Source organism: Homo sapiens, chromosome 10 (genome assembly GCF_000001405.40).
Source record: "Homo sapiens chromosome 10, GRCh38.p14 Primary Assembly".
Lineage (NCBI taxonomy): Eukaryota > Metazoa > Chordata > Mammalia > Primates > Hominidae > Homo > Homo sapiens.
This window is the reverse complement of record NC_000010.11, coordinates 101,345,233-101,358,079: the sequence shown is the minus strand read 5'-3', so window position 1 is coordinate 101,358,079 and position 12,847 is coordinate 101,345,233. Positions and strand designations below refer to the sequence as shown.

The 12,847-nt window shown below is 44.8% G+C and overlaps 1 protein-coding gene across 8 annotated transcripts in view, besides 2 other annotated features; it reads right to left on the bottom strand.

Annotated features, from left to right (window-relative positions):
* BTRC (beta-transducin repeat containing E3 ubiquitin protein ligase) overlaps positions 1-4,032 on the bottom strand; it is a 203,266-nt gene extending 199,234 nt beyond the window's left edge. For 4 of the 8 annotated variants that reach the window (NM_033637.4, NM_001256856.2, NM_003939.5 and 1 more), the window contains exon 1: positions 3,852-3,915. In NM_033637.4, coding sequence (NP_378663.1) covers positions 3,852-3,899 — 48 coding nt within the window. In that variant the 5' untranslated portion in view covers positions 3,900-3,915. Of the gene's footprint in view, positions 1-3,470; positions 3,916-4,013 lie in introns of those variants that run through there. The other 4 variants (XM_006718054.3, XM_017016870.2, XM_047425987.1 and 1 more) reach the window with 2 other exon arrangements.
* Positions 3,692-3,871: a silencer, noted in NCBI's record as "silent region_2720". NCBI's record gives its function as "represses an Ori minimal core promoter by ATAC-STARR-seq in GM12878 lymphoblastoid cells {active_cell/tissue: GM12878}" and the evidence as "EXISTENCE:reporter gene assay evidence [ECO:0000049][PMID:35858748]".
* Positions 6,140-7,339: an enhancer, noted in NCBI's record as "MED14-independent group 3 enhancer chr10:103110498-103111697 (GRCh37/hg19 assembly coordinates)". NCBI's record gives its function as "activates an origin of replication core promoter dependent on BRD2, BRD4, P300/CBP and CDK7 cofactors, and independent of MED14, by STARR-seq in HCT116 cells {active_cell/tissue: HCT116}" and the evidence as "EXISTENCE:reporter gene assay evidence [ECO:0000049][PMID:35650434]".

Sequence of the window (12,847 nt, the reverse complement as noted above, 5' to 3'; positions counted from 1 at the left end):
TCAACCCCTATCTTAAACGTGCTTGTGTGTGTGTGTTTGTGTGTTTTGGGGTCTATATTCCCTCAATCATTTTCATTTCTCTTCTTAGGTTCTCTTCAAGTTTCCATTTATACTTTTGTTAACCAAAAAAGTATTAAGAAAGGTCCTTGAGGACCTGCTAAAGCTGAATGAGAGACATTAGCACGTAAGTTAATGTAAACCGTTGCTTTCAATATCATTTATTTGTTTTTAAAAGTTAAACATTCTGCTTAAACTTTTTTCACAAGTAAAACAATAAGCTTTAAGTCTCGATCACGTGTGAATTATGGTCATCTCTGAATCAGCAGTCTTATTAACAGGATTTTATTGTAAAATTCTTTATCAAGGCACTTTAGTATAGCAATGAGCAAATTTGTGAGAGTATCCATTTCATTCTGGCATTTTAAACTAATTTTACATTTGTTTAAACCATGGAAATCATGACATCTGTATAAAAGTTGTCATTAGCGATTCACAATTGAGGGAAAGGTTAAGACCAGAACAAAGCCAAATAGTAATAAAAATGCCCGTTTGATTAAAAGGATAGTTCTTCCATGTGTACTGTGCACTAATTATTTGATGCTAGCTCAAATAGCTTCCTTTTTTTTTTTTTTTTTTTTTGAGACAGAGTCTCGCTCTGTCACCCAGGCTGGAGTGTAATGGCACGATCTCAGCTCACTGCAACCTCCACCTCCTGGGTTCAAGTGATTCTACTGCCTCAGCCTCCCGAGTAGCTGGGACTACAGGTGCGCGCCACCAGGCCTGGCTAATTTTTGTATTTTTAGTAGAGACAGGGTTTCACCATGTTGGCCAGGATGGTCTCAATCTCCTGACCTCGTGTTCCGCCCGCCTCAGCCTCCCAAAGTGCTGGGATTACAGGCATGAGCCACCACGCCTGGCCAATATCTTCCTTTTTTGTTTGTTTGTTTTTTTGAGACGGAGTCTTGCTCTGTCGCCCAGGCTGGAGTGCAGTGGCGCGATCTTGGCTCACTGCAAGCTCCACCTCCCGGGTTCACGCCATTCTCCTGCCTCAGCCTCCCGAGTAGCTGGGACTACAGGCGCACGCTGCCACACCCGCCTAATTTTTTGTATTTTTAGAGAGACGGAGTTTCACCATGTTAGCCAGGATGGTCTCGATCTCCTGACCTCGTGATCCGCCTGCCTCGGCCTCCCAAAGTCCTGGATTACAGGCATGAGCCACCGCACCCGGCCTATCTTCCTTTCTTAAAACTGACTCTGAATAAACAGACATGTTATAGCAGGGTAAATGGCACCAAAGGGAAGTTGTGACTTACTCAGATTCATAAGACTGTTACTGCACTGAAAGAGAATACCCAATCTCAAACTCTCCATTCTCTGTTTCTTTTATTAAGGTGTCATTCTGGTGACCCTCTTCTAGTTGACCTTTTCTCAAATGGCAGCCAAAACAGCAGGCAAGGTCAATAATGAAAGTAACTAAAATTAAAAGAAAAAATTGGCTTCTCCCTATGAAAACTGATTCAAGATTTAATAATGTGTGGTGCTCTAAAAGCTGCAACTACTATATGGTCATCTCCAAGTCCACTTTAACTCAACCAGGGAGGCCATTATCAAAACATAACTCACTGGTACAAAGCAGAGATTAAGTAGCTGAGAATGTTACTAGGCTGAAGTCTAACTGAGAGTAAAAAGGATGATCTCATAATGTCTCTTTATGATCTGTAAATCACATTATTCCATAAATCTGACACAAATGTCAGGATTAGGATTAAGAGTCAACCCTCTGCTGGGCGCTGTGGCTCACACCTGAAATCCCAGCACTTTGGGAGGCCAAGGTGGGCGGATCACGAGGTCAGGAGATGAGACCATCCTGGCCAACATAGTGAAACCCCGACTCTACTAAAAATAAAAAATTAGATGGGCGTGGTGGCCCACACCTGTAGTTCTAGCTACTCGGGAGGCTGAGGCAGGAGAATCGCTTGAACCCAGGAGGCGGAGGCTGCACCACTGCACTCCAGCCTGGGCGACAAAGCAAGACTCCATCTCAAAAGAAGAAAAAAAGGAGTCAACCCTCTAAGTAGGAAAACAAAAATAAGCAGTAACAGTTTTCTAACTTAAGTGTAGTAACTTTCACTTACTTCTAAAGTCCAGTAAAAGTTCAAGGTCTCTTCTTCATATTTAGAATTTTAATGTTGGGCAGAAATCCAAGAACCTTCTTCAGGCTCAATGAAATTTTGTTAATGATACCCCTGAATTTTAATTAGGTGTTTTCGAAAACACTAATGCAAGATAAAGTTTTAGTGAATTTGACTAGATTCCAAAAAAGTATTCTTATAAATGGGGCAGTTTAAAGTCTAAAATTCAATTTTGTTAGTATCCATGTTTATCTGGATTTGTTACGGTATTTTAGGCAAAGATACAAAATAGCTATTTTTTTAAGCAAAGGAGTAAGATTTGGAGTGACAAGTCACAATAACTTCTGAAAAAGCAAGACTGGACTGCAAATAATATCAATGTCCCTAAGGCCACCTGTTAAGCTTAAAATCTATGCATTCCATCATTCTTTAGTTGTAACCACAAAGTCTGGTTTTACACCTAGGAAATACAAAAAGCATCAGATTAAAAGCATCAAATATCAGACTATACGAGTTTGCCAAAGATAAGCACAGCAAAAAGAAAAGCGTGATACAAAGTTAAAGAAATATGTTCCAAGGGGTTTAAGCACACCCACAAAATCCAATCTTTGCTCACACTGTGCTTCAACCTAAAACTGACGGGTAACCACAAATCCTGACTTATCCCTGACTTACTTCCCTCTACCAACCTCCACCCTTTTTATCTCCTAAATTTCTCAACTGATCTCATCACTTCTTATGGGTCTTTGCAACTCTCATCTCCACGGCCTTTCCTTTCCCAGAAAATGATACAAAGCACCTGGCCTCCACATTTTACCGTCCCACAATTTACCTTTAAATTTTGTTTTGCTTACCCTATTAGATACTCATTTTGCCCCAATCTCCTGTACCCATGTTTCCCTGACAATCTGCTCTTACTTTTCATCACCTTGTCCTTATTACAGTATTTAGCTTCTCCTTTCAAAGTAGCGTTATGTACCCCTCCCTGACATTTGTAATTCTAGCTTACAGTCAACACCCTTTTCCCCTCCCAGGGACTGTCATTATAGCCCTAGGTCCTCATTCCCAGTCCTTATCTTCTTTAGTGAGGCCTCTTCCCTTCCAGAGTTTGTCAACAGTAGTTTGGCCAAGCTGGGATTCCACCCTCAAGGCAAAGGCTATCCTCCCTCCTCATTCTACAAAACTATAAGCCTCTCACCAGCCCTAGCGTTCCCTCCTCCACCCTTAAATCCATCTGCATCCAGCCCTGCCCGTTCCCCTCTACCCACCGTATCTGTCTTCACTCTATCCCGCGCTCCCTTCCCCAGTCGTGAATGCACCTCCTCTCCCGGGCCTTACCGGTAACCCTGACACCAGGAAGGCCCCGCCAGCGGCCTCACGGCGTTTCTCCAGAGAGCTTCCTCCGCTTTTCAGTAACAGTCCCCACGCCCCTTTCCCTCCAGGGCCCCGCGCGCCGCCTGGAGCCCCCTCCTCGATTAAGCTCCCGCTGTCACTTGGCCTCTCATCCACAAGATGGCGGAGCCGCTGCCCCCACCCCTGGGTCCGCTCCGCAACCCCCAGCCTCCTTTCTGGAGCTCCCATCCCATCCCTCCAGCCGCTCCGCCGCCAGCCTCGGCCCAGGGTCCCGCTGCCCGGTCCCGCAGTGGGCGGGCGGCCCAGGCCAGCGACGCCGCCAACGCCAGCGCCTCCACCGTTCCCCGGCCTCCACCGTCTCCTCACCATAAACTTGAGTGCCTTCTCTTGCAGCACCGCCTCGGCCGGGTCCATAATCGCCGAGGCCACTGGGTCCGCTCTCCGCCGGGGCCGCCCCTTTGGTGCCAGGCCGCAGCCAACGCAGCGCCCGGATCCCGCCTCCTCTTCCTTCCCCCCGCCCTCTCTTACCTCTCAGGCGCAGGCTGAGGGGCCAAGGAGAATCGGCTTCTCCGTGCGCAGGCGAAAGCCCACTGGCTCACGGGATTTGTAGTTCTGGAACTTCCCCCAGGAAAAAAACTGAGGCTACGCCGTGAACCGCAACTCCCACAGTTCACTGCGGCAGCGTTGCGGTTGCCCACAAGCCAGATTTAGATAAGTTGCCATTACGCAGAGGAAATCGGCTGATGGGAATTGTAGTTTACAGCCTCTAAGGATGAGAAACGGGAGGGGCACGGGTGTCTCCGTGGTTACCGAGCGACGCCAGTAGCGGCTTGCCTGGCATTTGATATCAAGATGGCGGCCAATGCCTCACTTGTAGCCCAAATACTAAGAAAAACTGTGGCAAGAATCACGGGTCCTAGGACCTGCCTAACTGTGGTTTTAGGAAGCTGAACGTCCCCAAATTTCATGTATCTGGCATCTGCAGGTTTGCGACCCAGAGTAGCTGGGCCAATGGGCACCTGGCAGCAGCTCACAGACAAATGCGGAATTTCAAGGTCCTCCTAAGCCATCGCCACCCACACTTCTCCCGAGGAATCTTTTCTCCCCCACAGCAAGTCAGGGCCGAATAGAACTCGGTTCAAGAAATTCTCAGTGTTTAGAGCTCAAAAAGCACATAACTTGCTATTGCTAACTGTGGGATGTAAGCCCTGCACTAAGGGTCAAACAGGTACTTAACAAAAGTCCTTCAACGGTGGAATATAATGGCCTCCAGCAAATAAAGCATATAAATATTTTCTTTGGCCTGAAAAGGTACAATATGGGTTTATTTTGGAAATTGGGTCTACCTTAGGAGGAGAAAACTCTAGGGTTTGGTTAAAAGTGATTTAGGTTGTTTTAAGCTGCTATGTTTGTGATAATTGGTTATACAGCCTAAAAAACTGACACACACCCAAATGCCCCTCAGCAGGTGGTTGTATGAACAAATTGTAGCATATTCCATATGTAGCACAGTGGAATATTACTTAGCAATGAAAAAGAACAGTATAACAACAACAACAACAACAAAAGTGATTTAGGGCCAGGCGCGGTGACTGACGCTTGTAATCCCAGCACTGTGGGAGGCTAAGGCGGGTGGATCACCTGAGGTCAGGAGTTCGAGACGAGCCTGGCCAACATGGAGAAACCCCCGTCTCTACTAAAAATACAAAAATTAGTCGGGCCTGGTGGCACGCGCCTGTAATTCAAGCTACTCGGCAGGCTGAGGCATGAGAATTGCTTGAACCCGGGAGGCGGAAGTTGCAGTGAGCCGAGATCACGCTACTGCACTCCAGGCTGGGCAACAGAACGAGACTCTGTCTAAAAAAAAAAAAAAAAAAAAGTGAGTTAGATTGTGACAGCCTTGTACAAAATATCTGAATTTATAAAATAAATGAACTAGGAAAATACTTTTTGACTTATAGGAAAAAATCTCCATTTTAAACTATCTTATTCACTCAGTCATCCAACAAATGGTAAGCATATAACCGTGTGCAGACATCATCTCAAGAAATAGGGATTCATCACTACTTGGGTGGCTAAAATATCAGACTTCACCACTATAATTCATCTATATAACCAAAAACCACTTGTACCCCAAAAACTATTGAAATAAAAATAAAAGTAATTAATTAAACAAAAAGAAAAAGGAATGGGGATTCATTAATGAACAAGACAGACCCAGTTATTTCCTCGTGGAGCTTACACTTTTACTCTGTTGATACTTTGTCCTAGCCCCTATATCCACAAAACTCAGCATGATACTTAATACATAATAGGCTTTCAGTTAATAAAAAGTTTTGTTCTTGAATTTTTAAAAAAATTCTACACAAGTGCAAAATGGAGAAGACTTCAAACGCATTCGTATGAAAACTAGCTGGAGGTTTTCAGAGGACTAAGGCAGTAACAGGATGGAGTTACAAAAAAAATAAATAAATAAATAAATGAAAAGATAAGGTGGGATGATGGTGCAGCCACTGGAAAAGAGTATTCCAGGCAAAGGTAACTGCATTTTTGGTGATTGATTCTGAGAACCAAAACAAGATCAGTGGGACTTTAGAGGAAGAGTGGCCCTAGATGAGACTGCAGAAGAGTATGGGGCTCTATAGGCAAGCCATTATTTAGCCGGCATAAACTGGTCAGATAAATCAGCTGACATGCTTTCTAAACTGGCATCAGGGCCTGTACCTTACCAGATATAAAATACCTTGACTTTCACTCCAGCTTATAGGCCAAGTTCAGTCATTTAGACTGTATCCTGAGAGCTGTGAGAAACTAGCTGAACAATTTAAAAAATGGTCAGATTTGCATTTTCAGAAAATCACTCAGAGTCCAGGGTGGAGGAGAGATTAAAATGGAGCACAGCTGGAAGCTTGGGGAAAGGATTATGAGGTTGCTGAAATATTCCTGGGAGAGATGATGGCAGCCTGAATGTGGTGGTGAGAACAGAAAGAAGTAGATGGATTCCAGAGATACTAAGAAGATAGAATCAGTGGAGTATGGTGATTGATTAGATGTGTCATGGATGATGTCAAAAGGATGTGTCAAAGATGACTTCTATGTATCTGGCTCAGGTAATGAATGAGGGATGCCATATATATGTATTTTTTTCTTTTTTTTGACAGAAAGCACAGTAGAAGTGGTAGGAGGATAATCAGTTCTCTTTTTGGACATATTGCTTCAAGGTGCCTGTGAGATTTCTAAGTGGATTCAGATGTTGAGGAGGCCATTGGAGATTTGAAACTGAAGTTGGAGGGAAAGACCTGGGCTACAAATAGGGATTCCAGCATGTAGGTGGTAAATGAAACTCCACTCCCGCTTCTTCCCCCGAAAAGAATGAAATCATCCAGGGAGCTGGGCATGGTGACTCACACTGGAAATCCCAGCACTTTGGGAGGCTGAGGCAGGTGGATTACCTGAGGTCAGGAGTTCGAGACCAGCCTAGCCAACATGGTGAAACCCCATCTCTATGAAAAATACAAAATTAGCTGGGTGGGGTGGTGCTCACCTGTAGTCCTAGTTACTCAGGAGGCTGATGCAGGAGAATCGCTTGAACCCAGAAGGTGGAGGTTGCAGTGAGCCGAGATCACACCACTGCACTCCAGCCTGGGTGGCAGAGCAAGACTCTGTCTCAAAAAAATAAATAAATAAAATAAAGAAAGAAAAGAAATCACCCAGGGAAAGCATAAACAGTGGAAAGAGCAACAGGACTAGGACAGGGTCCTAAAGAACTGTAAGATTTATAGGACGAGCACAGGAAGAGGAGCCTACAAAGTAGCCCAAGAAGTGACCAGAGAGGTAGCAGGAAAGTCTGGTGAGTGAGGATCATGAAGGGGTTAGGGGGTGCAGATGCCACACTGCAGCCTGTTGAAGAGGGAGGTGAGGATATGAAGACTGCTGAGTCTCTTCTTTACAAAACGTGGCTATCTAGGGAAGGAGAGAAAAGCTAGCACAGTGGTGGGATGTAGAAGTTGAGAGTCTAAGGAAAGCATTGTTTTGTCTGAAAGAAGGAAGATTTTAGTTCAAAGGAAATTGAAGAAGCATGGCAACTAAATGCAATGAATGATCCCTGATTGGACACAGGAACAACACACATACACTGACACTGATACACAGCAGAGAAAACAGCTATAAAAGGCATTAATAGGGCCAGGTGCAGTGGCTTACACACAGGTGTGGGAAGCCAAGGCAGGAGGATCTCTTGAGCCCAGAAGTTCAAGACCAGGTTGGCAACCTGGCAAGACCTTGTCTCTCTCTCTCTTTTTTGAGACTGAGTCGCGCTCTGTTGCCCAGGCTGGAGTACAGTGGTGCGATCTCGGCTCACTGCAAGCTCTGCCTCCCAGGTTCACGCCATTCTCCTGCCTCAGCCTCCCAAGTAGCTGGGACTACAGGCACCTGCCACCTCGCCTGGCTAATTTTTTGTATATTTAGTAGAGACGGGGTTTCTCTGTGTTAGCCAGGATGATCTCTATCTCCTGACCTCATGATCCACCCGCCTCAGCCTCCCAAAGTGCTGGGATTACAGGCGTGAGCCACCGCGCCCAGCCTAATTTCTGTATTTTTAGTAGAGACAGGGTTTCACCATGATGGCGAGGCTGGTCTTGAACTCCTGACCTCAAGTGATCCACTCGCCTCGGCTTCCCAAAATGCTGGGATTACAGGCGTGAGCCACCATGCCCCATGCCCAGCTCTTAAAAAAATAAAATTAAATAAATAAAGACATTAGTGAAACAGTCAGGGAAAAACTGAATATGGGCTGTGTATTAGATAACAGTATTTTATCAATGTTAAGTTTTCTGAGTGTGATAACTGTGAGAATAAGAAAATCAGAGAATGTCTTAGATGATACATGCTGAAGTATTTAGGGTGAAATGTTATGATACCTGCAGCTAACTCTCAATTGGTTTAGGAAATAAGGAAGGTGTCTATGTGGAGTGAGAGAGAAAGAGGGAAGGAGGAAGGGAGGGAGAAAGACAACTAAAGCGAACGTGGCAAAATGTTAAGAATTGATGGATCTGACTGGGTGTGGTGGCTCACATTTATAATCCCAGTACTTTGGGAGGCCAAGGTGGGCAGATCACTTGAGGTCAAGAGTTCCAGACCAGCCTAGCCAACAAGGTGAAATGGTGTCTCTATTAAAAATACAAAAAATTAGCCAGGCATGGTGGTGTGTGCCTCTAATCCCAGCTACATGGAAGGCTGAGGCAGGAGAACCCCTTGAACCCGGGAGATGGAGGTTGCAGTGAGCCGAGATTGCACCACTGCACTCCAGCCTGGGTGACAAAGAGAGACTCTGTCTCAAAAAAAAAAAAAGGAAAATTGATGGATCTAAGTGAAGGGTTGTAGGAATTCGTTGTACTCTTCTTGCAACTTTTCTGAGGGTTTGAAATTTTCCAAAATTTAAACTTGGGGAATAAAATGAAGTGAGATACTTGAGCATATTTAAATGCTGATAGAAAGGATCCATTAGAGAAAGGCTAAGGATGAAAGAAAGAGGATAATGATGGCAACAGTTCCTGAGAAGACAGGACAGAAAGGGATCTAGGAACAGATGGAGGGATTAGCCTCCTCTGAGAGACAGGAGGAGGAGCGTATGAGGACAAATAAAGTTAAGTTTAGAATTGGCAGAGAAAGGTTAAGGTAGTCCCTTCTTCTTCTTCTTTTTTGAGATGGAGTCTTGCTCTGTTGCCCAGGCTGGAGTGGAGTGCAGTGGCACGATCTCTGCTCACTGCAACCTCTGCCTCCCTGGTTGGATTATCCTGCCTCAGCCTCCTGCGTGGCTGGGATTACAGGAACACACCATTACGCATGGCTAATTTTTGTATTTTAGTAGAGACGGGATTTCACCATGTTGGTCAGGCTGTTCTCAAACTCCTGACCTTGTGATCCACCTGCCTCAGCCTCCCAAAGTGCTGGGATTACAGGCATGAGCCACTGCGCCCGGCCAAGGTAGTCCCTTCTAATAGGTGTCGCAATAGGCAAGTAACAATTTCTGCCATACAAAGAAATAAAATTTTTGTATTTTCTGTTCTTCTGGATTATGTTTTTCCCTTTTCTTTTATTAGCACAATTAGTGGAAAAGTCGCTTTTCTTTTTAAATTAATATTGTTTTAAATTGAGAGATCGTAATTGTATACATTGATGGAGTACCATGTGATGCTTTGATATATGTATAGGATGTGGAATGGTTAAATCAACCTAATTAACATATCCATCACCTCACTTACTTGTCCTTTTTTGTGATGAGACATGTGAAATTTACTCTTAGTTATTTTGAAATATACGATACATTACTATTGGCTATAGTTATCCTACTATGTAACCCAGCCAGAATTTCCTTCTTTTTAAAGGCTGAATAGTATTTTATTGTGTATATATACCACATTTGGCTGGCCTGTTTGTAATCCCAGCACTTTGGGAGGCCAAGGCAGGTGGATCACAAGGTCAGGAGATCGAGACCATCCTGGCTAACATGGTGAAACCCCGTCTCTACTCAAAAAAATTGGCCGGGCGCGGTGGCTCACGCCTGTAATCCCAGCACTTTGGGAGGCTGAGGCGGGCGGATCACGAGGTCAGGAGATCGAGACCATCCTGGCTAACACGGTGAAACCCCGTCTCTACTAAAAATACAAAAAAAATTAGCCGGGCGAGGTGGCGGGCGCCTGTAGTCCCAGCTACGCTGGAGGCTGAGGCAGGAGAATGGCGTGAACCCCGCGGGGCGGAGCCTGCAGTGAGCCGAGATCGCGCCACTGCACTCCAGCCTGGGTGAAAGAGCGAGACTCCGTCTCAAAAAAAAAAAAAAAAAAAAATTAGTCGGGCATGGTGGTGTGTGCCTGTAGTCCCAGCCTCTTGGGAGGCTGAGGCAGGAGAATCGCTTGAACCCAGGAGGCGGAGGTTGCAGTGAGCCGAGATCATGCCACTGCACTCCAGCCTGGGTGACAGAGCGAGACTCAGTCTCAAAAAAAAAAAAAAAAAAAAAAAGGGCCGGACATGGTGGCTCACGCCTGTAATCCCAGCACTTTGGGAGGCTGAAGTGGGTGGATCAGGAGGTCAGGAGATCTAGACTATCGCGGCTAACGCGGTAAAACCCCGTTTCTACTAAAAATACAAAAAATTAGCCAGGCGTGGTGGCAGGCCCCTGTAGTCCCAGCTACTGGGGAGGCTGAGGCAGGAGAATGGTGTGAACGTGGGAGGTGGAGCTTGCAGTGAGCCAAGATAGTGCCACTGCACTCCAGCCTGGGCGACAGAGCGAGACTCTATCTCAAAAAAAAAATAATAAAATAAAAAATATATATGTATATGTATATATGTGTTTATGTATATGTATATATGTGTGTATATATAATCACATTTTCTTTATCCATTCATCTGGTGATGGATACGTAGGTTGATTTCATATCTTGGCTATTATGAATAATACTGTAAGGAATATAGGAGTGCAGATATTCCTTTGACAGACACACTGATTTCAATTCATTTGGGAAGTGGGATTGCTGGATCCAAAAGTAGCTTTCCGGCTGGGCGCAGTGGCTCATGCCTGTAATCCCAGCACTTTCAGAGGCTGAGGTGGGTGGATCACCAGAGGTCAGGAGTTCAAGACCAGCCTGGCCAATATGGTGAAACCCCGTCTCTACTAAAAACACAAAAATTAGCTGGGCATGGTGGCGGGCGCCTGTAATCCCAGCTATTCGGGAGGCTGAGGCAGGAGAATCGCCTGAACCAGGGAGGCGGAGGTTGCAGTGAGCCAAGGTCATGCCACTGCACTCCAGCCTGGGCCACAAGAGTGAAACTCCATCTCAAACAAACAAAAAAACAAGTAGCTTTTTTTAGATTAGTGCTATTCTAGATAGTAATTCTCAACTGGGGGCAATTTTGTTCCCTGGAAGACATATAGCAATGTCTAGAGATATTTCTGGTTGTCACAACTAGGGACAATGGGAGCTGCTACTGGCATCTAGTGGGTAAAGACCAGAGATGCTGCCGAACATCTTATGATGCACAGGACAGCCCCCCACAACAAAGAATTGTCCAGCCCAAAATGTCAATAACCCTGAAGTTGAGAAACCCTGTTCTAAACCAAGGCTGTCCAAAATATTATTAATCGTATATTGGAACTCAAATATAACTCTGTTCATGCCCTAGGTGACTTTAAGTAATAAAACGAGTAATTATGAGTCATCGTTCATTTATCCATTCACTACAAACTTATTTTATACAGTACAATATACCACAGTGTTTAACAGCATTGGGCTCTGGAGGCAGACTACTTAGGTTCAAATCTGACTTCTATTCCTGTGTGTCATTTTCCTTATCTGTAAAATAATGATTATCACAGTAACTTCTTCATAGGATTGCTCTAAGAATGAAATCAATTTATAAACATAACACACTTAGAGCATTGGTACATACTAAGAACTCAGTAAGTGTTAACCATTATTATTGTAATGATTAACTCTCTGCCATGAAGGGTACACAGAGAAACAAGAGACATTTCCTTCCTCACTGTCTATGAGAAAACTTGGAAGAAAAAAAAAAAAACCAAGACTACAATGTATTGTGATTATCGCTATGAGTGAAGAGTGTGGGAAATGCTATGGTAGCATCCAATAGGATGTTAACTAGCTCTGCTTGGGAAATAGAAAAAGACAAAAGCAATAATATTTGAACTGAACTGTAAAGGATAAAGACTAATTACACTTTGTTTACTATTTCTTTGTTAACACTTTGTCTTCATAGGCGTGAGCACCTGTTTTGTTTGTTTTTAGTGTGGCAGCCTATTATTAAGAAATGTGTGGCCAAGGCCAGGCATGGTGGCTCATGCCTATAATCCCAGCACTTTGGGAGGCCGAGGCAGGCAGATCACCTGAGGTCGAGACTAGTCTGGCCAATATAGTGAAACCCCTTCTCTACTAAAAATACAAAACTTAGCCAGGTGTGGTGGTGGCCACCTGTAATCCCAGCTACTCGGGAGGCTGAGGCAGGAGAATTGCTTGAACCTGGGAGGCGGAGGTTGTAGTGAGCCAAGATGGCATCATTGCACTCCAGCCTGGGCCACAAAAGCGAAACTCCATCTCAAAACAAACAAATAAAAAGAGAAATGCAGCTGGACGCAGTGGCTCACACTTGTAATCCCAGAACTTTGGAAGGCAGAGAGGCAGGATGATCACTTGAGCTAAGGAGATCAAGACCAGGCTAGGTAGGCAACATAGCAAGACCTCATCTCTACCAAAAATTACAAAAATAGTTAACCATGCATGGTGGCACATCCCTGCAGTCCCAGCTACTCGGGAGGCTAAGGCAGGAGGATTGCTTGAGCCTCAGAGGTC